Genomic DNA, 27,459 nt, shown 5'->3' on the forward strand with positions numbered 1-27,459 from the left:
GCCACTCCAGACGCAGGGCAGCGTGCCTCCCCCAGCCGGGCATCTGCTCCCTCAGCCCCTGGCCTCAGTGATGTACCCGCTTCTGGCTGGGGCCACATGGATCCTCCCAGCCAGCTCACTGGATGGTTACCCTTAAGGTGACTCCAAGCAGCTCTCTCCACTGTCCACACAGGGCCAGGCAACTGTTTCCTGCCCAGGTAGAAGGATAGCCCTCTCCCGACCAGCTCTCCGTGCTCCGCTCCCAGACGAGCCACTCCTGTCTCAATCTCGGGCCTTTAGACTTCTTCTGGTGGACATTAGCATCACACTCTGTGGCCTCCAGACTCCAGGGCACACATGGTAAGCCAAGAAGCTCTCCGGGGAGTTCAAGAACTTGGAGAAGTCCAGAAGCTCTCCAAGGCATTCATATGAAGCCCACCTCATTTTACTTGCCATCAGAGGGAAAATATCAGCACACTAACAACTCTTTCCAGTCGCTCAACCTCTTCTATTTCCATTTCTTATAATACTGAGGCAGCCAATGAGCTGATTCTGGCAGAAAGGTTTTTGTCTCTAGCATATATGTTCAGGTGGTTTAGCACCTCAGGGAAGAACATGAGGACACTCGACACATGTTATACGTCAGCATCTTATCACATGTGTTAGAAACACTTCAGAGAGGAGCGAGCCTGGGCACTGTGATGTTCACAGGATGGGCAGGAGGAGGAGCTAGCAAGCAAGATGGGGAAGAACCCTGAGAGCATAGAGTCAAGAAACGAAGTGTTACGAGCAAGGGTGGTTTATTTGGTCAAAAGCTGCTGCTGGGTTGAGCATGATGTGGTCTGAGAAGTGGCCAATGGATTTGGGAAAATGGGGGCTGTTGATATCCTTGATAAAAGCTGGGTCAGAGGCACTCATGGACCTTCCTGGTCTGGTCCTGCCTTCTTTTCCCAGCCCACCAGGGCACTGGGCTTTGGCGACCTCAAACTACTGGCAGTGCCTCATATGCCACCTGCCCCCATTTCGCAGGGAGCCCCCGTTCATCTTTCCAGATGGTGGTGAGACGCCACCTCTCATTAAGCCTTCCCTATGCTGATACAAGATCTGCTCCCGTGCCCCTCACTTCACTCTACTCCCCCCTCATTCTGCTTCAGCCACAGAGGCTTCATGCTGTTTCTCAGATGCACCCTGCACACTCCCTCCTGGAGCTCTGTACTGCACTGTCCCCTCTTCCCCTGGATTTCTGTGACACTCCCTCCCGCACCTCCTTGGTTTCTGTGACACTCCCTCCTGCACCTCCTTAGTTTCTGTGACACTCCCTCCCGCACCTCCTTGGTTTCTGTGACACTCCCTCCCGCACCTCCTTTGGATGAGGGAGCTCCAATTTACCTTCTTGGTGTGATCTTTCCTCCCTCTTGAAAATCTGACACCCCGTCCACCATGCTTTATCTTCTTTTCCTGTTTTATTTTTCTCTACTGCTTTTACCACCCTGCAGAGAAGCAATTTACTTATCTTATTCCTTGCCTATCATCCCCCCTTGGAATATAAGCTCCGCAAGGGCAAGAACTTCTCACTGAGGTGTTATATGCTGTATCTCCAACAGGGAACACTGTCAGCTTATCTTAGGTGCTCAGTAAATATCTGCTGAATAAATAAACAAGTAAATAAACATCGTGATGGGGCAAAGCCTGATCCAGGTGGGTTGCACCCCCTCTGGGGGTGCTTTTCTGCAACAAGGAGCAGAGCCGTGGGGAGGTAATGTACACAGGGTGTGGTGGTGTAGGTCTGTATGAGTGAGTGAGTGAGTGTGTGTGTGTGTGTGTGTGTGTGTGTGCATGTGCTGAAATGACCCAGGAGAGAGCGTGGAGCCAGTGACGTAGGAGGTGGCAGACATCTGCTGGAGCTAAGTCCCTGAGTTGGCCAAAGGCAATGAGATATGAGAGATAAGAGGAACACTAATTCTGAACAAGAGCAGAGAGAGTGTTTAGGTACAGATGTAGCCGGAATCCATCATGGGGCTAACACTACAGAATCGGGCTAGAAGCAAATTCCCCCTTTCAACCCCCACGGTGCCTTATCCAAAGCCTCTGGTGGTGCTAACTGCTTTCTGACTTGCCTGACTGATCTCAGATAGCAGATGGAATGGGTCAAGAGGTAGATACCAACAGATATAACCTGCCAATGAGCTTGTCTGGTACTTTCTTCAAAATACCAGTCAACCAATTCTAGAATCACTGTTGCAGGAGTGGAAGGATCTAAGATCACCAGTCCAATCCTATTAGGGTAAGTAAGAGGAAACTGAGGCCCAGGGAGGGGACATGTTTGTCCCCTTCCGGGGTTAGTGGTCAGTCTAGGACTAGAACCGAAGGCCCTTTTGAAGAGTCTTCTGCAGCATCGAGCAGCCTCTGCCCTGTGCTGTGGAATCTGACTGTGGCTCCCTGTGTCACTGGATAAGCCAGCACAATGGCACAGAAGCCTAACATAGGACAAGGGACTTTACAACATTTTTATGGCATCATGGTTCTTGCTGGGACCCGCTGAGGTAGGTCCACATTCTGCAGAAGAATCCAGCACCAGGGATGCCACACCCATTCCCCAGAACCCTCCCCAGACGGGTTCTCTTGAGCACTGTCAGGAGAGCGACAGCCTTTCAGGAAAGCAGTTTGGGGATTTGAACAAAACCTAAAACCTGCACACCTTTGCAACTTGCACTTTCACATCTACGAAATGTTCCTAAGAATCGCCAGTGGAAGGAGGCAAAGATATATGTGCAAGATGGCTCACCCAGGCTTTGTTAATACCGGTTGAGCATCCCTAATCCAATAATCCCAAATCTGAAATGTTCCAAAATCTGAATTTTGAGTGCTGACATGATGCTCCAGGGAAATACTCATTGGAGCACTTTGGATTTTGGATTTTCAGATCAGAGATGCTGAGCAAGTATAATGCAAATATTCCAAAATCTGGAAAAATCCAAAATCCAAAACACATCTGGTCCCAAGCATTTCAGATAAGAGATACTCGACCTGTAATAGCAAAACTCACAAATAATGTATACACCTGCATTTAAGCTGCCTTGGAGCAAGAGATTGGGAAGACTTCACTTTTTTACATAATATACTTCTGTATTATTTGAATTTATTATGAATATGTAGTATTACTTTCACAATTCAAAGAAGTAAAGATTAAAAGGACAAACAAAACCTTCTCTGATCCAGATGGAATGATGTTTAGAGCATGGCAATATAAATGATTTCTTTTACTTGTTTATATTATTGAAATTTTACGTTGGGTATCAAATATTACAAAGATATCAACATAGTATGGGAAATTCCTCCCCTGGGTTCCTACTGGCTTGAAAATAAAGAAAAATGTCTCACCCACCGAGCAGAGAAAGCAAGTTGTCCTGAATGCCCACTCTTCCCTTCATCCTTCTTCTATAGCAGTAGAACGCCTGACATTTTAGGCCGGGTACATATTGTCTCAGAATACTCACTACATTTTCCAGCCTTCCTTGCAGCCAGGTAAGGCCATGTGACTAAGTTCTGGCCAAGAGAATGAGAGCACAGGTGATATCTGCAGAGGAAGCTTCTGGGTCATGTCCTTAAAGAACAGGGGTATGCACTCAGAAGAGAAATACAATAAAAACAACACTGAGGTACATTTCCCACCTATCAGACTGGCAAAAACCAAAAGCTTGATGCATACTCTGTTGGTGAAATTGTGTGGAAATAGGCACTCATGCACTCCTGGAGGGAATGTAAAATTACATGACCCCTAGGATGGAAAATTTGGGAATATCTTTAAAATGACAATATATTTTATTTACACTCTGATCTAAGAGCAATCTCACTCCCAAGGAATTTACTCTAAAGATAACCAGTCTGACCAACATGGTGAAGCCCCCTCTCTACTAAAAATACAAAAATTAGCCAGATGTGGTGGTAGGCACCTATAATCCCGGCTACTTGGGAGGCTGAGGCAGGAGAATTTCTTGAACCCGGGAGGTGGAGGTTGCAGTGAGCCGACACTGGGCCATTGCACTCCAGCCTGGGCAACAAGAGCAAAACTCCATCTCAAAAAAAAGAAAAAAAAAAAAGATAACCCCCCAATAATAACAAAAATACAAAGTTATTCATTGTGGCATTATTTGTAATTGCAAAATATTGAAAACACCTAAATGCTCATTTACAGGAGATTTTGATGAAGTAAATTATGATCCGCCCACTCAGTGGGTGCTTCAAAGCTGTGAACAAAGTGAAAAAGATCTCTGTGAGGTCATACAACCTGATTTCCAAGGTATATTGTTGATGTTTTAAAAAACCAAAGAGTATATGCAATATGCAAACACTTGTGTAACATGGGGAAAAATGAAGGAATGGAGTGGAACAGATAGGGGTGAGGGAATAACGCTACTTTGATTTTACCAATTTGTATAATTTTTGCCTTTACAGCCTTGTTAACAGTTTACATATTCAGAAATTAAATTACATCAACAAGAATCAACAACAAGGAAAACAGATCACAAATAAATGGCATTATATTTCAAATAAATAATACAGCGATAAAGAAAAAACAAAAATTAATACAAGTAGCTTTTAAAAATAGTGCTTTGGGCCAGACGTGGTGGCTCACGCCTGTAATCCCAGCACTTTGGGAGGCCAAGGTGAGTGGATCACCTGAGGACAGGAGTTTGAGACCAGTCTGGCCAACATGGTGAAACCCCGTCTCTAATAAAAATACAAAAATTAGGTGGGCATGGTGGCTCATGCCTGTAGTCCCAGCTACTCGGGAGGCTGAGGCAGGGGAATCACTTGAACCCGGGAGGCAGAGGTTGCAGTGAGCCAAGATTGCACCCACTGCACTCCAGCCTGGGAGACAAAGTAAGACTCTGTCTCAAAAACATAAATTAAAAAAAAAATATATATATATATATATGTGTATATATATATATACATATATGTATATATATATAGCATAGGCACACAACAGAATACCACTCAGCAATACAAAGGAATGAGCTACTGATGCATTCTGCAACATGGATGACTCTCAAAAACATCACACTAAGTGTTCAAGAAGTGTGGCACAAAAGGCCATGTATTGTATGATTTCATGTAGATGAAAAGTCCAGAAAATGCAAACCTAAAGAAATAGAAATCAGTGGCTGCTCAGGGCTAGAGGTATATGTGGAGATTAACTGCCAATGGTCAAGAGAGAGAATTCTGAGTGATGGACGTATTCTAAAGTGGATTGTGGTGGTGGGCGCACAACTTTCTAACTGGGGCACTGCCCACTGTTTGCTTTTGCAGTCTCGGGTCCCAGTGCTTCCCTTCATGCACCTTAAATTCTACTTAATGTGTCCCGAAGGAGCCTCATGCTTTCAAGCCTCTGCCCAGGCTATTCCTCCCGTCCAGCAGGTAACTCCTCCCAGTCTCCACCTGTGGCAGTGTTATTTACTCGCCATGGCCCAGAACAAATGTCACTTCCTCTGGCATGCCATCATCAATCCCTTCCTCCTACACAGTCTCGCCGAACATTCTCGCACACCCCTGAGAATCTGCTTCACTCGAATTCTTCAGCTGTGTCTATGCATGGCTGTCTCCTCACCACTCGACAGGGAGCAACTTCAGGGCAGGGACAAGGTCTCATTCTTCTACTGCACCTAGCAAAGTGTCAGGTACATCATAGCATTTGACGAATGATGGATAGATGAGAGGATGGATGGATGGATGGATGCATGGATGATGGATGGACAAAGCTATGAAGAACAAGTGGGACTGAAGCCGATGGAAAATGGACAGGCTGGTTTAAGCAAAGGTGAGCCAGTTGTTAGGAAAGCACTTTTTAAAAGACTAAAAAACAATGACTATGTGTAAAAGACAATGGTGAAGAAGATAACTCGTCTCTTACCTTCATCAAGCAGCCAGCAAACACAAGGAAGCCTTTTGAATGCAGATGCTTGGCCAATGAGAACCCAAATCCAGAGTCACAGCCTGTGACCAGGACAGCTTTGCTGCCAACCTGTTTTACAAGGTCAGATTCCATGTTAGGAACCGGTGGTACAGGGGCAAAGTGACCAGGCCTCTCCACCCTCTGTGCAGTGAGAGTTAGTGCTTCCTGAGTGGCCCAAGCCTGGCCCTCCCTACCTTGTTCTTGTTGTCTGGAGAAGCACCATGGTATAGTGGAAAGGCCAGGTTCTAACCCAGACTCGGCTACCAACCAGCAATGTTGCTTGGGAAAATTACTTCTGCCTTCAGGATCTCATCTACAATCCCCCATGCTACATGTGAGAAACAGAGGTCTTTTTAAAACGCTCAATGTAGCTAGTGATAGAGCTGGAACTGAAACCAGGGCTGAGAGATTCCAGAGTCTAAACTCTTCTTCTTTTTTTTGAGATGGAGTTTGGCTCTTGTTGCCCAGGCTGGAGGGCAATGGCCAGTCTCGGCTCACCGCAAAACCTTCACCTTCCAGGTTCAAGCAGTTCTCCTGCCTCAGCCTCCCAAGTAGCTGGGATTACAGGCATGCACCTCCACGCCCGGCTAATTTTGTATTTTTAGTAGAGATGGGGTTTCTCCATGTTGGCCAGGCTGGTCTTGAACTCCCTACCTTAGTTGATCCACCCACCTCGGCCTCCCAAAGTGCTGGGATTACAGGCGGGAGCCACCGCCCTGGGCCTCCGGAGTCTAAACTCTTAACCCCTAACTTGCTGGGTGGGGCTGGGAGTTCTCGCCCCCCACCTAGGCCTCCAGTGATACCTTCCTGGCTGGGAGGGGCTGGAGTGCCTCATTACTGCTTCCTCCCCACATGGATGGGGGTGTGTGAGCTCATTACTGATGAGGGGCTTTGGGGGAGGGTTAAGTGAGAAAGTGGCTCCCAGTGTCCTGGAAACACTAAGGCCCCACTCTGAGGGTAGCTCAGGGCCTAGGGGCCCAGAAGAAAGGGTTCTGACCATCCAACTGGCTCCCGGGTAGCTGGGCTTCCACTCACCGGCTCCGCCGCACTGGCATAAGTCCGACGGCCAATCGGGATAAAGGAAGTAGAACCAAGCAATAGTGGGCGTCTGCAAGAGAAAAGGAAGCCGTGAGTACAAGGACAGACTAGACAGACCCTCAGCCACACTGGCCTAGAGCAGCACTGGGTGTCTCTCCAGCCCCGGCTCCTGGAGACAGCTTGCTGGTACAACTGAGTAAGAGGCCCTCTTTCCACCAGGGTTGCTGGCTGATAGAAAGTGAGCCAGTATTTGCTATGGCTATGTTTGCCACTGTCCAGGAAGAGCCTTCCTGAGAATAAAGCCAATTCTGAAGCTACTTTTGTTGGGCAGGCTCTGCTAAACCCTGGCCATCCAGTGTCCCACTCCAATAAAGTTCCATTTTCTGCTTTCCAAGATGACATGGATAGGTAATGTTTCAAGCTAATTCAAGTGTGAACTATCCTTGTAGTAGTATAGCTTTGTTAAAGCCTGCTGCAATTTTGATGTCTTAATCCACAGTAGGCTAAGCTTCCTGAGAGTTACTTCAATCATACTTTTTATTTTGAAATAATTGTAGATTCACATGCAATTAAGAAATAATACAGAGAGATGCCAGGTCTTACCTCATTTCCCCTAAGGGTAGTATCTTGCAAAACTGTATTACCATATCACAACCAGGATACTGACACGGATACAATAAAAATACAGAAATTTCCATCACCACAAGGATCCTTCATGTTACCCGTTTATAGCCACACCTACTTTCTTCCCACCCGGCTCCATCTTTAACCACAAATCTGTTCCCCATCTCTGTAATTTTAGAATTTCAAGAATGTTATGTAAATGGCATCATACAGTATGTATCCTTCAGGGGCTGGCTTTTTTCATTCAACATAATTCTCTGGAGATTCATCCAGATTGTTATGTATCAATAATTTGCTCCTTGTTATTGCTAGGTAGTGCTCCATGACACAGGGGTATGACAATTTGCTTAACTATTTACCTACTGAAGGACAGCTGAGTTGTTTCCTGTTTGGGCATATTATGAATAAAGCTGCTTGAACATTCCTACACAGGTTTTTGCGCAAACGTTGAGTTTTCATTTCTCTTGGGTAGGTGCCCAGGGGTGTAATTGCTGGGTCATATGGTAGTTGCAGGTTTAGTTTTTTAAGAAACTGACAAACTGTTTATGAAAGTGGCTATAGTACGCTACAGCCCCAGTGGCAGTGTCTGAACAACCCAGTTTCCCCACAGCCTTGTCGGCATTTGGTGGTGTCACTATTTTCTAGTTTAGCCATGCTGAAAACTGTATCATGATATTTCGCTGTGGTTTTAATCTGCATTTCCCTAATGGCTAATGATGTTGAACATCTTTTCATGTTTATTTGTCACCTGTCTTAGTCTGTTTGGGCTGCTATAACAAAATATCATAGACCGGGTGGCTTACCAACAACAGACTTATATTCCTTACAGTTCTGGAAGCTGGGGAGTTGAAGTGCAAAGTGCCAGCAGACTGTGTTTGGTGAGGGCCCACTTTCTTCATAGACAGATGTCTTCTCACTGTAACCTCACATGGCAAAGGTCTCTTTTATAAAGACACTAATCCCATCCATGAGGACTCCACCTTTATGACCTAATCACTTCCCAGGGCCCCTGCCTCCTAATACCAATACCTTGGGGGTTAGGATTTCAACACAGGAATTTGAGGAGAATGCAAACATTCGGACCATAGCACCCTATGTTTGGTAAAATGCCTCTTCATGTCTTTTGCCCATATTCTATTGAATCGTTCATTCTTCTACCCCGTTGAATGTTGAGAATTCTTCAGATGTCCTAGCTGCTAGTCCTTGGTTACATATGTGGTAGGCAAAATTTTTCTCCTAGCCTATGACGTGCCTTTTTATCCTCTGTAGCAGGGTCTACTGCAGGGGCAAAAGTATTTCACTTGGACTCGGAATCAGGAAACCAGGGGTTGTAACCCAGACTCTGCCACCAACCAACAACGTTGCTTAGAGAAATTACTTCTGCCTTCAGGATCTCAGTGTCCTCGTCTACAATCATCCATGCACCACGTGGGACAACAGAGGAATTTTCAATGCCCAATGTAGTTAGTGATAGAGCTAACTAGTGAAACCAAGGCTGAGAGAGTCCAGAGTCTAAACTCTTAACCCCTAAATAAAGTCTAGTATTTTCCTATTATGCGGCATGCTTTTGATGTCAAGTCTCAGAGCTCTTTGCCCCCAGGACCCAAAGATTTTCTTCTATGTTCTTTTCTAAAAGTTTTATAGTTTTGGCTGGGATGGTGGCTCATGCCTGTAATCCCAGCGCTTTGGGAGGCTGAGGTGGGCAGATTGCTTGAGCTCAGGAGTTCGAGAACAGCCCGGGCAACATGGCGAAACCCCATCTCTACAAAAAATACGAAAATTAGTCAGGTGTGGTGGCTCACGCCTTTAAGTCCCAGCTACTTGGAAGGCTGAGGCAGGAAGATCAACTGAGCCCAGGAGGCAGAGGTTGCAATGAGCTGAGATTGCACCACTGCACTCCAGCCTGGGGGACTGAGGGAGACCCTGTCTCAAAAAAAAAAAAAGTTTTATAGTTTTATGTTTTACTTCTTAAGTCTATGATCCATTAATTTTTGTATAAGACGTCAGACTTAGGTCTAAGTTTTGTGTCCATTTGCTCCAGCGCCATTTTTTGAAAACGTTATCTTTCCTCTATTGAATTGCTTTTGCACTTTTGTCAAAAATTGGTTGGGCATATTTGGGTGGGCCTATTTCTGGATTTTCTATTTTGATTCATTGATATATGTGCTGCTACTTTATTTTTCTTCTTCAAAATTCTTTTAGCTATTCTATTTCCTTTGCCTTTCCATATAAATTTTAGAGTAATCTTGTCTTCATCTATAAAAAATATGACTGGGATTTTTATAGAAAGTGTGCTAAACCTGTATATCAATTTGGGGAAAGTTGGCATCTTTACTTTGTTGAGTCTTCCAATTCCTGAGTACAGTATGGGGTTTCCATTTACATAGATCTTTGATTTCTTTCATCAGTGTTGTGTCGTTTTCAGCATTTAAACCATACATGCGGCCGGGCATGGTGGGTCATCCCTGTAACCCCAGCACTTTGGGAGGCCGAGGCAGGTGGATCAACTGAGGTCAGGAGTTCAAGACCAGCCTGGCCGACATGGTGAAACCCTGACTCTACTAAAAATACAAAAAACCAGCCGGGCATGGTGAGGGGGTGCCTGTAATCCCAGCTCCTCGGGAGGCTGAGGCAGAAGAATCACTTGAACCCAGGAGGCGGAGGTCAAAGTGAGCCGAGATCGCACCATTGCACTGCAGCCTGGGCAACAAGAGTGAAACTCCGTCTCAAAAAAACCCAACCAAACAAACAAAAACAAAACAAAAAACAAATCCTACACATGCTGTGTTATGTGTAACATGTTTGTTACATCTATTTCTCTCTTTTTTTGAGCAACTACAAATGGTATTGTTTTGTTTTGTTTTATTTTATTTCATTTTATTTTATTTTTTGAGACAGGGTCTCACTCTGTTGCCTAGGCTGGAGTGCGGTAGCATGATCTCGGCTCACTGCAGCCTCCGCCTGCCACACTCAAGCAATCTTTCCACCTCAGCCTCCCCAGTAGCTGGGACTACAGGCATGCACCACCAGGTTCAGCTAATTTTTGTATTTTTTGCAGAGACAGGGTCTCACCATGTTGCCCAGGCTGATCTTGAACTCCTGGACTCAAGTGATCCTCCCACCTCATCCTCCCAAAGTGCTGGGATTACAGGCATGAACTACCACATCCGGTCGAAACTGTATTGTTTTAAAATTTGATATCCATATGTTCATTGCTAGTATACAGAAATGCAATTGATTTTTGTGTGTTATCTTGTATCTTGTAACCCTGCTAAACTTACTTATTAGTTCTAGGAGTTTTTTTGTGGATGCCTTGGGATCTTCTATGTACACAATCATGTAATCTGCAAATATGGGGTCTTATTCCTTCTTTTCCAATCTATATGACTTTTACTTCCATTTCTTACCTTATTGCACTGGCTAGAAATTACAGCACTATGTTGGATAAGCGGTGAGAACTAATATCCTTGGTTTGTTCCCCATCTTAGGGACAAAGCATTCAGTCTCACCCTTAAGTATGTTAGCTGAAGGCTTATGGTGTTTACCCTTTATCAAGTTCAGGAAAATCCCCCTCTATGTCTATTTTTCCTGAGATTTTTAAAATCATAAATGTGTGCTAAATTTTGCATCTTCTGCATTGATAGAGAGCATCATGTAAGTTTTCTTCTTTTAGTTCATTAATTTGGTGGATGAGATTAATTTTCAAATAATGAACCATCCTTATATCCCTGGAACAAACCCACTTGTTCTGTCCTACTGCACTGGTCATTTGGCTAGAGAGAGCAAATTTTTGTTGGGGCTTTTTGCGTCTGAGCTTACTGGTATTTCTGGGTTGCCGGCTGCTTCAACTCCAAGTCTGGGACATAAGAAACAAAAAGAAAACCTAGAGAACTCATCACTGCACCATTTCTTGGGTCCTGAGGTCCTTAGCTGGTCTGCCTTCTTCTCTCTGCCTTTTAAGAGGCTTTTTATATATTACATACTTACTAAATTATTTATAATTTATGTAATATCCAGGGTTTTTAGTTGTACTTGACAGAAAGAATAGAGAAAAGTACATCTACTCCATCTTCCCAGAAGCGGAGGTCCTGTTAGTTTTTAAAGGATATTAACCCAGTAATGACAAATGAAGGAGGTAGGGGTGAATGAGCAGGTGGTAACAGGGGAAAAGAGATGGGAGATAGACTTACCTTTTCTGTATACCATTTGACGCCATTCAAATTTTGTTTTTTGTTTTGTTTTGTTTTGTTTTTGAGACAGAGTTTCACTCTTGTTGCCCAGGCTGGAGTGCAGTGACACGATCTCAGCTCACTGCAACCTCCGCCTCCTGGGTTCAAGCGATTCTCCTGCCTCAGCCTCCTGAGTAGCCGGGACTACAGGCTTGCATCACCACACCTGGCCAATTTTTGTATTTTTAGTAGAGACGGGGGTTCACCATGTTGGCCACACTGGTCTCGAACTCCTGACCTCAGGTGATCCGCCTGCCTCGGCCTCCCAAAGTACTGGGATCACAGGCATGAGCCACGGCGCCCGGCCTGCCATTCAAATTTTGTACCATGTAAATATATTACCTATTCAACATATTAAGCTTTTAAAAAATTATTAAAATATGTTCTTAAAGAACATTAAATTCACTAGACAGAAATGAGGGTTCACTAGGAAAACCTGCCAAGGTAACCCCCTGTCCTTTTGTACTGCCACAGAGGAGTCTGGATTTTAAGTCCTTGTGCACGGATGGTCTCAAGTGATCAGGATAGTGTGGTCGGTACACCCAAAGCTTGTGAATGACTCCATCCAAAGAGCATCAGTCTGTATTCCCATGACCCCCAGTGTTGCTCTGCAGAAAGAATGAGAAGGTGTCATTGAAACCACCATTGCAAAACACTGAGACAGTGAAAGAGAGCTGACCTAACCAACTCCATCTTGCTTCTAACCTCCAAGCCGTCCTTTTTCATTCCTGGCTGTGGGCTGAGCTAGCTTTGGGAGGAACTTAGTTTACAGTTGTGTTTTTTTGAGATGGAGTTATATTTGAGATGAGTTATATTTTTTTGAGATAAAGTTCCACTCTTGTCACCCAGGCTAGAGTGCAGTGGCGCGATCTTGGCTCGCTGCAACCTGGGTTCAAGCAATTCTCCTGCTTCAGCTTCCCAAGTGGCTGGGATTACAGGCACCCACCACCACGCCTGGCTAAGTTTTGTATTTTCAGTAGAGACAGGGTTTTGCCATGTTGGCCAGGCTGGTCTCGAACTCCTGACCTCAGGTGTTCCGCCCACCTCAGCCTCCCAAAGTGCTGGGATTACAGGTGTGAGCCACCACGCCCAGACTATAGTTTATAGTTTAAAACAAAGATGGCAGCCCTTTCCCAAAACAAACCTCCTTCTTGCCTGGGGATCAGACTGTCTTTGTAGGACTAACAAATTAGGCACCAGATTACAAATTATAAACCATAATTTATAGCCATGCAGCTAGAGGCTACAAGATTCTGACCCTCCCTACACTGCTCCTAAGATCAGCGCTTGGGATACTTTGCAGACCCTGCACTGGATGGATCAGCTGGCACCACCCAGGTGGACAAACTGGCTCATCTGCTCTTGTGGCCCCGACCCAGGAACTGACTCAGCGCAAGAAGACAGCTTCAATTTCCCATGATTTCCTCTCCGGCCCAACCAATCAACACTCTGTCACTGGCCTTCCCCCACCCACCAAATTATCCTTAAAAACTCTTGATTCCTGAATGTTTGGAGAGACTGATTTGAGTAATAATAAAACTCTGGTCTCTTGCACAGCCGGCTCTGCGTGAATTACTCTTTGTCTACTGCAAGTCCTCTGTCTTGATAAACCGGTTCTGTCTAGGCAGTGAGCAAGGTGAAGCCATTGGGCAGTTACATCCCTAGTGGAACTAGATGATTTGTTCCTGTCTCCTTAAGGGCCACACCCTTAGCACTTTTTTTTTTAGACAGCGTCTCTCTCTTTCACCCAGACTGGAGTGCTGTGGCACAACCTTGGCTCACTGCAACCTCCGCCTCCCGGGTTCAAGCAATTCTCGTGCCTCTGGCTCCCAAGTAGCTGGGATTATTATAGGCATGTTCCACCACGCCCTGCTAAATTTTGTGTTTTTGGTAGAGATGAGGTTTCACCATGTTGGCCAGGCTGGTCTCGAACTCCTGGCCTCAAGTGATCCACCTGCCTCTGCCTCCCAAAGTGCTGGGATTACAGGTGTGAACCACCATGCCCAGCCTACCTGACATTTTTAAAAGTAACAAAAAGGTTGTGGCCGGGAGCGGTGGCTCACACCTGTAATCCCAGCACTTTGGGAGGCTGAGGCGGGCAGACACTTGAGGCCAGGAGTTCGAGACCAGCCTGGCCAACATGGTGAAACCCCATCTCTACTAAAAATACAAAAATTAGCAGGGCGTGGTGGCACACGCCTATAATCCCAGCTACTCAGGAGGCTGAGGCAGGAGAATCATTTGAGCCCGGGAAGCAGAAGTTGCAGTGAGCCAAGATTGTGCCACTGTACTCCAGCCTGGGCGAGAGTGAGACCTGTCTTAAAACAAAAACAAAACAAAACAAGTAACAAAAAGGTCTAGGCAAGAGAGCTTATTTCAGATTGACTTGCTGCCCGTCTTTCTCTAAACTGTCTCTCCATTGTCAAATATATTCAGACCTAAAATTAACTGAGTCTGGGTGTATTATACCAGGCTCTACCACTTATACCCAACAGTCAATGGCGCATTTCTACTCTTCCAGAGAGCAGAAGGTTCTATCTCGACTCACCTGCCCCCCCCACAGCAATACCCTGACAAGGTGGGTAAGGTGGGGCTGTGAATACTCCTGGGCGGGCAGCTCCAGCTAGCATGACAGTGCCTCCTGAGCACTGCTGGACTTCTCGGCCTTTCCTTCTTGGCCACTGCTGGGATTGCCTCATCCTACTCTAATTCCTCTTCCCTCAATTTGCAGCTCTTACAGTCGCTGTGGGATCCCCATCTTAGGGCTGCTTCTCAATTTGAAGGGGCCTTGGGACCAGGAAGACCTTACTGCCTCAGCTCTCAAAAGTTAGTTAACAAGCACTTGGGGAGCTTGTTAAAATGCAAACTCCCAGGTCCCTCCCGTTGACATTCTGATTCAGTAGGAAGGGGTGGCCCCAGAAATCTGCCTGTGTCATTCACCTCAGGGGATTCCAGTGCAACAGGTCCTGGGGGAAGAACTGGTTCATCTAGTCCACAGCAGTTGTTCTCTGGGCCCCTGTTTATTAGAATCACTTGGAAATGTGATCATGGTCGTGTGGTTATATTACTAAAACGAGTTCTTATCATTTAGAGATAAATATTAAAATATTTGCAAATGAAATACCATGTCCAGGAATTGCTTCGAAAATTAATCTGGTATGGGGAGGGGGAGGAAAATGGAGATGTAGCTGAAACAAGATTGGCCATGTGCTGATAATTATGGAAACCCAGGTGACAGGTACACCAGGGATCAATATACAGCTTTCTACTTTTGCGTATGTTTGAGATTCTCCATAGAATGATTTTTTTTTTCTTTTTAATCACAGGGAAGTTCTTTAAAGTATTCCTTTGCCTAGCCTCACTCCTGACCCAGAGGTGAGGCACAGACACTTTTTCCCTCACTGTTCTCTAGGTGATTCTAACCCACAACCAAGGTTCAATACCACTGCCCTACAGGAAAAGAAAAACAAAGACCTATCCCCAGGGGGTTCCCCTTTGAGCCCCTTGAATGCCAAAGCCCCAATATCCCTGTGAACAGCTGGAGGCCACAGCCCAGCTGAGCTGTGACAGACACTGCTCTTTGCCTGCCAGCATCCGTTCTTCTCATCTGCCTCACTAACAAGAATCTGGATTTTGTCCAGGGACAGCAGTGCGCCCAACGCTTTCCAGATTACCACCCACCTAGTGGTCACGTGACCTGCCTCTGGCCAATAGGCTGCAAGCGGAGGTCGACCACAATTGCTGAGTTTTGCTTTCCCGATGCAGGTGCGTTGCTTGTCCCTGCCTGGACTGAGGCTGGAGGTGAAGGACTATCACAGTATCCTGGGATCCTGAGCTGCCTTCAGAATAACACAGCAGAAAAAAACAAGGAGCCTGGGCTCCCCAAAGCCACAATGGCCCTAGACTTCTAGGGGTTCCTGCTATTCTTAGTGTGAGGCAATCCCAGCTCATACACTGGTCTCCCAGGGCTAAGAATGCCCATGAGGCGTTAGGCCCAAAACCAGCACATAAAATAGTGTGTATTTCCCTGGAGGGTCTCCTCTGCCCAGGAGGGTCCTGCAGTAACAGCAAGCTGCTGGCCAACCAAGCCACTAACACCAACAGCTATGCCGGTCTCAGTCTCTCGGGAGGCACAAGTTAAGCTCGAGATGGTCAACACGCTTTCTTTCTTGCTTGCTTTTTTTTTTTTTTTTTTTGAGACGGAGTTTTGCTCTTGTCGCCCAGGCTGGAGTGCAATGGCACGATCTCGGCTCACCGCAACCTCTTCCTCCCGGGTTCAAGCGATTCTCCCGCCTCAGCCTCCCAAGTAGCTAGGATTACAGGCACACGCCACAGGCCCGGCTAATTTTGTATTTTTATTAGAGACGGGGCTTCTCCATGTTGGACAGGTTGGTCTCAAACTCCCGACCTCAGGTGATCCGCCCGCCTCAGCCTCCCAAAGTGCTGGGATTACACGTGTGAGCCACCGCGCCCCCACCGGTCAACACACTTTCTGAAGGGAGAGCCCAAAGGGGTGGCTGTGAGGTTCAGAAGACGAGAGCTTCCTGATTTTTGCCCTAACCCAGGAACAGAATGAGAGGGAGGAAGTGGTGCAGTCTGGCACCTCCCCAAGGCCCTGTGGAAGAGCCTGCTGTCCTCAGCGCCCTGGTCATCCCGGCCGCATTTGAGAGCGCTCCCTATGCTGGCCAGGGCGTTCATTCTGGCTTCTTCTCTATCTTACCAGTCTGTGTGTCTGTGCCTTTTATTGTCCCCATCAGGAATCAGAAACAATAACCAGTAACCCAGCTTTCTGCTGAGAGGAGCCATGAGTCCATTTGAATCTAACAAGACGGGGCTTAGGAGGAACACATATCAGTGGCACAGGTGCAGCTCGGGAGAAATATGGCCTCACGGCAGCATCTGTGAAAAAAATTTAGCCTGTTTGACCATGAATCCCGCATGTGATGTGGCAGCCAAAAGAAGCTATGTGAGCCTAGGCTGGACAGGAAAGAAACTAGGATAGGGGAGGCAAGAGCCCTTCTCCACTCTGCCCGGGTCAGGCCACCCTGGGAGCACTATGTGCTGTACCTGGCCTGGCAGAGCTGAGCACTGGTGATCACAGCCCAGGAGGCAGGGTCCCAGATGTGAGCAAGGCACCTGCCCCAGGGATGCCAGAGTCTTCTGGCAAAGCCAGAAATCTGAGAAATCTGAAATCGGAGGGCCATGGGGAGCCAGTAAGCACAGCAGGTTGTCAAGTGTTGGGGTTGGGGGCCTTATCCAGCCACTCCTGGGAAGGTTTTCATCTGGACGGAGCCATGTGTACTGGGTGATGCCTGCTCTGGGCATGTCAAGAGTGGTGGGTGTTTTGTTCAGGCACCACACCTTAAGAAGGAGCACAGGCAAAGTGCAGACCATTCAGCGGGGAGACCTGGATGATAGTGGGGAAACCATGAGAGATAAACAAGGAGAAACCATGTGGGTGGAGTAAGAGTAGACAAGTGGGTGGGTATTGAGGTGGCACAGTGCCCCTGGGGAGAAGGGAATAACTCGCTCAGTGTGAATGCAGGGGCAGACCCAAGAACAAGGAGTGGCATTAACAGGAGAAAAGATTTCTCCTCAATAAGGAGATGTCCAAACACAGGAGGCCTGCTATGAGAGGTACTAACCTCTCCATCACTGGACATATTCAAACAGAGGCGATAAAGTCACTTGGTAAGGATGCTATCAGCAAGATTCACTCACAGGTGCAGACTGGAGTATGAGGCCCTTTCCAACTGAGACTCAAGCAAAATGATCAGGCCAAAGTTTTCCCTCTGAGGGACTGTGGGATCCTAGGCATGGCGATTACCCACCATGCCAGCCTCCTTCTGTACCTGGGTCCCCCTCCACGCTGCCCATACCTTCACCCTACGACATTGACTCTACTCTGACAGCTCTGCGGCTGCCCAACCACCACCCAGGCCCCTCAACCTAACCAAGTTACTTCTCAGTCCATCCAGAAGATTCCAAATTCCCTTTGACAATCTTTCTTTCCCCTCAAGTGAGCCAGGAGCTTGACTAATGCCTCATTTTCCTTACATTTAAGAACAAAACCTTTGTAAAAGTATTTTAACTTCATGTGGGATTATCTTCTCCTCTATAAAAAAACTCCAGAAATCTCTAAAAGCCATGTTGGAGACAGATCTTGCCATCTTTATGAATCACTCACTGAAAAAACAATTGCAGCAAGTCACCTTCTTTCAAAAGCCCTTCAACAAAGCCGAGCTCCGTCCCCGCTCTGATGGCAGGGGCCTCCGCCGTCCCCGCTGTGATGGCAGGGGCCTCCTGCCGCCTGTGCCAATGGGGCATTCTAAACTCTTCTCATGTGGGGTCCTCAGGTAGGTGGAGCCCCAGCTCCAAGCCATGCCTCTGTATCTCTCAGAAATAAATTCAAGCAAATGCTGCTAAAAGCCGGGCCGGGCGTGGTGAATCCCAGCACTTTGGGAGGCCGAGGCAGGCGGATCAGTTGAAGTCAGGAGTTCAAGACCAGCCTGGCCAACATGGCAAAACCCCATCTCTACTAAAAATACAAAAAATTAGCCGGGTGTGGTGGCACATGCCTGTAGTCCCAGCTACTTGGGAGGCTGAGGCGGGAGAATTGCTTGAACCCGGGAGGCAGAGGTTGCTCTGAGCCAAGAGGTTGCCACATTGCCTGGGCAACAGAGTCTCAGTCTAAATGCATGTTCCATTAAACATATTATTGGCATAGAAATATCAGTGTTCTAGATCCTGGGACTTTGAATTTAACATAATCTTCAATTTCACTCCCCTCAAATTCACTCCCCTCAAATATAACAGAAAGAAAAAGGTATTTCTTGTTTTTTCCTTGCTCAGACTGCAAAAGAGTAAAATGTGGCAGCAGAGCCCACTGAATCCCCTGGGAAAAGGCAATTCCAGAAGCTCTCAAAGAAGAACAGCTGCTTGTCTAATTTGTACTTATATAATGCTTCCTCGAAATCACACAAACGATGCGGTGAAGGTTTGGGACATCTCGGCTAACTGATTTCATGCATAAAGTTTTAAAAGAGCAGTTATCAAAATAATGTACCTCCTGGCACGACGGGCTGAGAAAAGCACCGCTTCACTGCCGCAGGCGTCTTGCCACACAAACCCAAACTGAGAGACATTGTACAACATAACCAGCGAGAGTGTCAAGGTCGTGAGCGAAAAAGACTGAAGACCTGTCCCCGGCAGGAAGAAACTAAAAACACATGACACCTCCGAGCCATGTGGGATTTGGGATTCGATCCTGGACCAGAAAAAGGTCCATCAGCAGCCACTTGGCAACACTGGAATAAGGTCTGTAGACTAGTTAATAGTATTCTATCAATGGTAATTTCCTGATTTTGATCATTGCAGTATGGTTTTGTAAGATGTTAACATTTAGGGAAGTTAGCTGAAGGGGATCCAGAAACCCTTTCCAACGATTTTTGCAACTTTTGTATAAGTCCAAAGTTATTTCAAAATAAAAAGGGTTTTAAGAAGTGGTTATGGCCAGGCACAGTGGCTCATGCCTGTAAACCTAGCACTTTGGGAGGCCAAGGCGGGTGGATCACCTGAGGTCAGGAGTTCAAGACCAGCCTGGCCAACCTGGTGAAACCCCGTCTCTACTAAAAATATAAAAATTAGCTGGGCATGGTGGCAGGTGCCTGTAATCCCAGCTACTCAGGAGGCTGACGTGGGAGAATCACTTGAACCCAGGAGGCGGAGGTGGCAGTGAGCCGAGATCACGCCACTGCACTCCAGCCTGGCAACAGAGTGAGACTCCATCAAAAAGAAAAAAAAATAAGTGGTTATGAAAGATATTCCTTTCTGCCCTGTGTGCCCTGGGAAAATGTCTTCCCAGGACACCTCTGAGTTTCCTCTGCTGGGAGACAAAGGTATTGAGAGACATCTCTGAGAATCAGGCCTCATCACCGCCTACACTGTCCATGTGTGAAAACCTCTGCCTGCTCAGAAAGTGTCCCCTCAAGGCCACCACCACCTCTGGTTGCTTACCTTGCTCCATTTTCTCTATCACAGGCACTTAGGGTTTTTCCTGGGAGCCGTGACAGGGGTCTGGAGAGGCGGGTGGCCAGCATGGTAGCAACGGGTGTTAGAATGGCCCAGTTCCTCCCGGTGGTTCTGAAACATAAATGCACCCTCAGCATTACTTTGTTGCCTTCCGGGCTTTAATCAGGAGCAGTCATGTTCCTTTCAGGTTGTGAAAGTCAAACTGGGCTGCATCTGTTCCACCCAGCTCCAGTCCTGGTACCACCAGGTAGTCCACTCTGGTTCCTCTCTCAAGCTGCAGCTTCACAATGGAAAGAGTCAGGAGCCAGGGTGCCTGGAAGCCTGGGTTCTGGCTCTAGCTGTGCCACCAAACACACTGGGCAACCCTGGGCAAGTCATCACCCATTCATAATGTGAGCAGGTTGGCCCAGATCAGTGATCCTCAAACCCGCCAACCACTGGGAGACTCGGGGACCTAACCCCTCAGGGATTCTGACTCGGTAAGTCCTATTCCTCTAACCTGCTGAAACACCCACCTGTGGTGCCCCAGGGCATCAGCCTTCATTCCTGAGGTGCCCACCTGCCCCTGCAGGCAGCTTGTCCTCATGCCACATAGCATCTGACTCAGCCGTCCACCTCTTTCCCCCATGCGAACAAACAAGGGGGCTCTGGCTCTGAGGCTGAATTAATCAGTAATTCATTATAGCATAGAGTTTGGAGCTGCCAAATAAGAGACTCTTGTAATTAACACACACACACACACCCTCCCCGCTCCCTCACCATTTGAGGTTAAAGCAACCTTATTGCAACAAGAATCTCTTGGTAACACCTTAAGGCTGCTAGGCACCACGACTCTTCAGCATTATTGACCGCTGATCAGCACGGGCATGCGTTGCCCTCCTGTTCTGTTAATAGTGATTCCTCCAGGCCTAAGGGAAGGAAGGCGGGCTGGTAAATGGGTTCCAGCCTCTCCTTTGCCTACCTGGCTGTAGTCTGTCATACTGTTCCTGGTAATAAGGTACTGCCTGGGAGGCTCCTCCCCTGCCTGTTTGCTGCCACCCCAAACCTTACTGATAACCAGCCACCTGGGCCCAGAGGTCAGCAGTGTTAACTGAGCAACCACTGCCATGCACTCTGCTGGAAGCAGGTGGAGGCGTTTAATCTGTTTAATCCTCAGGAAAGGAAAGCAGGCAGAAACCTCTCTGGTGTTACCTTTCCAGAACTACAGTAAACTCTCGCTTGTACTCCTGCCCCTATTTGCCACACCCCCATTCTCAGCACAGCAGCCCAAGAAACCTTTTTAACACCGGTCAAGCTATGCGACTTCCGTGTTTAAAGCCAACTTTCCATGCCCGTGGGGGCTGGCCTCTCCCTCCCTGGAGGCCCCTAGCTCACTGGGCCACCCTCCTCTTTGCTCACTGCGTCGCAGCCACCACTGACTCCAAGAACTCCTTGCCCACGTGAGGGCGTTCCTGCCTCAGAGTACCGGCTCCTGCTCTGCCCTCATCCTGGATGCTGAGTCCTCTGTCTCCCTCACTAAAGTGGCTCCCATTCAACACACAGGTTGCTCTCTGTAAGATCACTCTCATAGCAGCTACCTTAATTCAAAATTATGTTTATTTACTTTATCTTCTACTAGATCCTAAGCTCAGTGACACCAGGAATCCTCTCCACCTGGTTCACCACCAAATCCTCAGTGCCTAGAACGAGCCTGACGCAAAGGAGGCACTCTGAGTCCCTGGGGAGTGGATGGGAGCTGAGCGGGCTCCCGCAGGGCAGTCTGGGGGTGGAAAGTCGGCCTGTGGCCACAAAAGAAGTTTCCATGGAAAGCTCCTTGCAGAGAGCAGCAGAATGGAGCCCAGACTGGCTTTTTATGGTTTTATGGAAGGCACAGGCCCACGTTGGCTCAGACTTTTTCATGAGGCACCCCCTCCCACCATCTAAGTACTGACCAGCTGGCTAAGCACACACATCTCTACCTCCTCCCTCCAAGACCCAGGACCAGAGTCTGAGGTCACCATCACTGGGAAACTTCCCATCCAGTCATCTATAATTAAAGTCCTTTCCACCCCTTAGCTCAATGCCTGTGGCAGAAAATGCTTTAATATGATCTCCAAATAGACAGCTGCTTTCCATTTTGTTTTCCTTGAAGTCAGCCATATCTAAAAGTACTAAAGCCAAAATAATTAAAAGTGCATAAAAACTCAGTCCCTTGGCCAGGCGTGGTGGCTCACGCCTGTAATCCCAGCACTTTGGGAGGCTGAGGCAGGTGGATCACCTGAGGTCATGAGTTCGAGACCAGCCTGGCTGACATGGTGAAACCCTGTCTCTACTAAAAATACAAAAAATAGCCAGGCGTGGTGGCGGGCGCCCACAGTCCCAGCTACTCGGGAGGCTGGGGCAGGAGAATCGCTTGAACCCAGGAGGCGGAGGTTGCAGTGAGCTGAGATCACGCCACTGCACTCCAGCCTGGGTGACAGAGCAAGGCTCCGTCTCAAAAACAAAAATAACAAAAAAAAACAAAAAAAACACAAAAAACTCAGTCCCTTGAACAATGCACTGTTCTCAATGTAGTCTGTTGCATGCGTGTTTCTTAAACATGCAGCTATTTCCACTGCAGGGCTCCCAAAGACTCTTCAGGGTAGCTGTCTGCCATCTTCATGTTTTGTGCCAGGCCTTATTCTCTGTAAATATTAAGTTCTCAAACTTCACACACCACTTTCTTGCCTTTTAGTTTGGGAACAGAAATGGCTGTGGGAGGCGGGTGCTCAGTCTCCTCAGCCTTGAAAGTCAAGTAATTAGTTGCCCTGAGGTGACTGAGCACAGGGGGCTTGACTCCCAGGGACCAAACTCATAAGATACTGTCACAAAATCACGATGCTCACATATCAACCTGGAATCTTGGAGACATTTTTTAATGCTAGAAACACTTGGGGCTTCTCTCAAGGGCCCGCTCCACTGTCAAGGTATAACACATGGAAAGCACTCCTACTCCAGAAAAAAAGAAAACAGCGTGCGCATCCTTCCTCACTGCTGGGCTCACTGTGTTCCATTCCAACATGACCATCTTGCAGAGGTCACAGCTGGGGGCTTTCCTGTGAGGCAGCAGCAGGGGCTCCCCTCAAAGGGGCAGGCATTCCCAGTACTAACATTCTCAGCAGAGGCAAGGTATCCGCAGCAAACCGGGTCACACAAGGCAGGAAAGAGAACTCAGGTGTTTCTGGACATGAAGCCTACATGGGCCCTTGCCACTCCCAAGTGGGAGGCAAAGGTCCTGCCCCCGAGGAGGGCAAGCTGGGGTTATGCAGGGAAACAGCCAATGCAGAGACCTCACACTGAAGAGCTTCAGACCAGCAAGTTTCTGTGTCAGCTTCCCAAATCCTACAACTGGCAGCCTACCTAAACATGTTCTACTTGGCTGATTTGTTTGGCCAGCCTGCTGTTTTAAAAAGCAGTGTAACTAGGCAGCTAAGCTATGCTTGAACTCAATACAAACAGTTTGTACTTACTATGTTAAAACTATCCATATCATCTTTGTTAATTGCCTGGACACTATGGGCATTTGAGTTTTGAGATTCCTGACCATATATATCTATATATGCACTATAATCAAATAACTATTATATATATATTTGGCCATTCCTCTTCCGAACATTTCGTAGAGTCTTGCTTGAAAGTTCCAACCCAGCTCAGCTATACGTGGGAGCTTCCTTGAGGTCATGCAAACGGGAAACCTGACAAGTTCTCAAGCCCTCATTCAAAAAGACACCTAACATTCCTTAGAGAAGTAACCATTCTCAAACAAAAGTCAGAAATAATTACACAGGAACATCAAGTGATATAGTAGACAGTGTTCTCACCACCACTGTATCATACATGCAGAGATGACACTCACATGGCTCGTTTCACAGGGACCTTCAATAAAAGCCAAGGGTCTAACATTAGGCACACCCAATGCAGACACCTTGATCGTCCTGAGAGACATTCCAGTCACCAGATTAGGCTTCGGTGGCGACCAGTTCTCCTCCGATAACACACCACATACACTCTGCAGTGACTACCTTTCGGGGGTCTGTCCTGCTCACCTGATGTCCCCTCCTCTCAGACCTGCCCCTCCCTCATAGGATTTGGCCTCTGCAGCTGCAGAGACTATGCTTTGGTCACGGAGGACTGAGCCAGGAAGAGACACCAGACCCAAGGTGAGCCCATTGTTCTGTCCCCTGGCACCGTGAGAGAATGCGAACCATGCTCTGTGGCGCAGGGCCATGCAATGGCGCTGCTGGAGGACGGCAGCTACACTCCACTGGGCCCTGAAGCCACAGAGAGAGGGAGAAAGCCGATCTGCAGGGGGTGGGGGGATAAGATGCTCATGCAGAAAGCAGCAGGGGTGGAGGTGGAGGGAGGGAGGGAGAAAAGCAACAGCAGCAGCAGCCGCCTCCCATCTGCCCCCCAGCTCCAGAAGCCATGCTGTGCCTTTACAGTCTCTGTGTAATTTAAGCAGGCTGGACGTTTCTGCCACTTGCCACCAAATCAATAGTAGCTAAAACTGAAGGCAGAACACTATTATTTTTAACTTTTTATTTTTATGGGTAGGTCGTAGTTCTATATATTTACGGGGTACTATTTTGATATAGGCATACAATGTGTAATAATCACCTGAGGGAAAATGGAGTATCCACCCCCTCAAGCATTTCTCCTTTGTGTTACAAACAATCCAATTATACTCTTTTAGTTATTTTTATATGTGCAATTAAATGATCATTGACTATAGTCGCTGTGTTATGCTAGCAAATACTAGTTCTTATTCATTCTCTTTAACTTTTTGGTACCCATTGACCATCCCATCTTCTCCCCACTGCACAGACCCTCACTACCTGTCCCAGCCTCTGGTAACCATCATTCTACTACATCTCCATGAGTTCAATTGTTTTAATTTTTAGCTCCTACAAATAAGTGAGAACATGCAAAGCTTGTCTTTCTGTGCCTGGCTTATTTCACTTAACATAATGACCTCCAGTTCCATCCACGTTGTTGCAAATGACAGATCTCATTCTTTTTTTCTGGCTGAATACTACTCCATTGTGTATATGTACCACATTTTCTTTATCCATTTATCTGCTGATGGACAGTTAGGTTGCTTCCAAATCTTAGCTATTGTAAAAAGTGCTGGAACCAACATGGGAGTGCAGATATCTCTTCAATATACTGATTTCCTTCCTTTTGGGTATATACCCAGCAGTGGCACTGCTGGATCCTATGGTAGCTCTATTTTTTGTTTTTGGAGGAACCTACAAACTATTCTCTGTAGTGGTTGTACTAATTTACATTCCCACCAACAGCATATGAGGTGTATTAATTCTCAGTTTTGACCCCTATTCTGAGAATGCCTCATTTATAATGACCTTATAACGACACTGGAACCTGTGCTTCCCCCATTCCACTCCTCTTCTGTCCTTCCCCAAGACAAAGTGTTACCCGAGCTGTCAAAACTGCCATAATTACAACTGCCAGATCAAGTGGGCATTTTTTCACTAGGAGAACAGGGCTTGCCTACCAAATTAAAGGCAGGCCACTAAACAACGGAGTCTCAGGACTCTGTTCTTGGTCTGTTCTCCGCACCATGACGAGCACTCATAGCTTTAAATACGATTCACATGCCGCCAACTCCCGAAGGTTGATCTCCAACCCAACCTTCTCCCCTGAACTCAGACAACTGCGCATCTAACATCTCCACTTGAATGTTTACTACGTATCTCAAATGCAACCTGTGCAAAACTGAGCCTGTGCTATTGTCCTGCAGACCTGTTCCTCTAAATCTTCCTCATTCTTGACTCCCCTTTCCTGCACACTCCACGGCCCAGTGCTCGGCAAGTCCTATCAATGCCACCTTCACATATATCTAGGATCCTCCGCTACCAGCCTAGTCCAAGCCTTCATCCCTTCTTGCCTGGATTATTGCAGTAGCCTCCCAACTAGACTCTCCGCTTCCACTGTAGTTCCTCCAGATTCTGGTCAACACAGCCTGCAGGATCTTGCGGAACATAAATCAGATCATGTCACGCCTCACCAAACTCCTGCCAGAGTAAAAGCCAAAATCTAGAGTTTGCCTACAAGGCCCTCCATGTTCTGGGTCTCCATTGTCCCTCTGACCTCATTCCTACCTGGTTCACTGCACTTTGGTCACAGTGGCTTTCTTGCTGTCTTTGGAACATAGCAAGCCAGCTCCTGCTTCAGGGCCTTTGTCCTTACTGTTCCCTCTACCTAGAACACTCTTCCCTCAATATCCACAGTCCTTTACTAAAATGTTTACTAAGACATTCTCTGGCCACCCCATCTATCCCACCCCAACCCTGACTATCCCCCTTCTCTGCTTCCATTTTTTCCTCCTCCTTGGCACTTTATTACATTATAGCATTCTACATGTTGTACATATTTATCTTGTTTGTTGTTGTTCAGTCTCATTAGAATATAAGCTCTTTGAGAACAGGAATTTTTGTCTGTTTTGTTCACTGTTGTATCTCCAACATGTACAGCAGTGCCCTGCACACAACAGACACACAATATTGATTGATTGATTCATTGAGATGGAATCTCGTTCTGTTACCCAGGCTGGAGTGCAGGGGTGCAATCTTGGCTCACTGCAACCTCCACCTCTCAGGTTCAAGCAATCCTCCTGCCTCAGCCTCCCAAGTAACTGGGGTTACAAGCATGCACCGCCATGCCTGGCTAATTTTTGTATTTTTAGTAGAGACGGAGTTTCACCATGTTGGCCCGGCTGGTCTCAAACTCCTAACCTCAAATGATCTGCCCACCTCGGCCTCCCAAAGTGCTGAGATTACAGGTGTGTGCCACCACGCCTGGCTGGTACATAATTAAATGAATTAAGAGAGTTTTGGCTGGGTGTGGTGGCTCACGCCTGTAATCCCAGCACTTTGGGAGGCCGAGGTGGGCAGATCACGAGGTCAAGAGATCGAGACCATCCTGGCCAACATGGTGAAACCCCGTCTCTACTAAAAATACAAAAATTAGCTGGGTGTGGTCGCTCGCGCCTGTAGTCCCAGCTACTTGGGAGGCTGAGGCAGGAGAATTACTTGAACCCAGGAGGTGGAGATTGCAGTGAGCCGAGATCACGCCACTGCACTCCAGCCTGGCAACAGAGCAAGACTCTGTCTCAAAAAAAAAAAAAAAAAAAGAAGAGTTTTAAGAAGAGGAGTGCCATTATCAGACTTACATTTTTAAAAAGGTAACTCTCACTGGGTTAATAAGTTGAGGATGGACTAGAGCAGAAGCAGGGAGACCCATTAGGATCTGTGGCAGTAATCCAGGGCCACCATGTGCAGTCATGAGGGTTGTATATTGCACCACTGCAGTGAGATGTGAAAACGTGTTCCTTAGAAATGTACACCAGCCTTGGTGAAAACCATGGAACTGATTAGAATTGGTAAGTCTGGCTTTATATTGAAGGTAGAGTCCGCTACCATTTACCAACAGATTGAGTGTAGGATATGAAAGAAGGAAGAATCAAAGCCATTTCCAAGATGTTTGGTCTAGGTGTAACAAATGACAGTAGTGCAAATGATTAAGCAGCCTTTCTATTCACAAGTGCTTACTGCATTTCAAACC

At 47.0% G+C, this 27,459-nt stretch overlaps 1 protein-coding gene across 10 annotated transcripts in view, besides 5 other annotated features; it reads right to left on the reverse strand.

The window, feature by feature from the left end:
- BDH1 (3-hydroxybutyrate dehydrogenase 1) overlaps positions 1-27,459 on the reverse strand; it is a 63,561-nt gene that overhangs the window by 16,736 nt on the left and 19,366 nt on the right. For 6 of the 10 annotated variants that reach the window (NM_203315.3, XM_047448679.1, XM_047448680.1 and 3 more), the window contains 3 exons: positions 19,843-19,968; positions 6,971-7,043; positions 5,894-6,004 (listed from right to left, as the gene is read on the reverse strand). In NM_203315.3, the coding sequence (NP_976060.1) occupies positions 5,894-6,004; positions 6,971-7,043; positions 19,843-19,925 (267 nt within the window). In that variant the 5' untranslated portion in view covers positions 19,926-19,968. The other 4 variants (XM_047448681.1, XM_011513067.4, XM_047448682.1 and 1 more) reach the window with 4 other exon arrangements.
- Positions 15,058-15,653: an enhancer, noted in NCBI's record as "OCT4-NANOG-H3K4me1 hESC enhancer chr3:197268447-197269042 (GRCh37/hg19 assembly coordinates)". NCBI's record gives its function as "activates a minimal SCP1, AML or CMV promoter by ChIP-STARR-seq in naive and primed H9 embryonic stem cells {active_cell/tissue: H9 hESC(naive and primed)}" and the evidence as "EXISTENCE:reporter gene assay evidence [ECO:0000049][PMID:30033119]".
- Positions 15,058-15,654: a biological region, named in NCBI's record as "OCT4-NANOG-H3K4me1 hESC enhancer GRCh37_chr3:197268447-197269042".
- Positions 15,260-15,554: a silencer, noted in NCBI's record as "tiled region #8020; HepG2 Repressive non-DNase unmatched - State 16:ElonW, and K562 Repressive non-DNase unmatched - State 4:PromP". NCBI's record gives its function as "weakly represses a minimal TATA promoter and a strong SV40 promoter by Sharpr-MPRA in HepG2 and K562 cells {active_cell/tissue: HepG2 | K562}" and the evidence as "EXISTENCE:reporter gene assay evidence [ECO:0000049][PMID:27701403]".
- Positions 15,360-15,654: an enhancer, noted in NCBI's record as "tiled region #4170; HepG2 Activating non-DNase unmatched - State 16:ElonW, and K562 Activating DNase matched - State 4:PromP". NCBI's record gives its function as "activates a minimal TATA promoter and a strong SV40 promoter by Sharpr-MPRA in HepG2 and K562 cells {active_cell/tissue: HepG2 | K562}" and the evidence as "EXISTENCE:reporter gene assay evidence [ECO:0000049][PMID:27701403]".
- Positions 15,654-16,247: an enhancer, noted in NCBI's record as "H3K4me1 hESC enhancer chr3:197269043-197269636 (GRCh37/hg19 assembly coordinates)". NCBI's record gives its function as "activates a minimal SCP1, AML or CMV promoter by ChIP-STARR-seq in primed H9 embryonic stem cells {active_cell/tissue: H9 hESC(primed)}" and the evidence as "EXISTENCE:reporter gene assay evidence [ECO:0000049][PMID:30033119]".

The sequence above is a fragment of the Homo sapiens genome, chromosome 3 (genome assembly GCF_000001405.40).
Source record: "Homo sapiens chromosome 3, GRCh38.p14 Primary Assembly".
Lineage (NCBI taxonomy): Eukaryota > Metazoa > Chordata > Mammalia > Primates > Hominidae > Homo > Homo sapiens.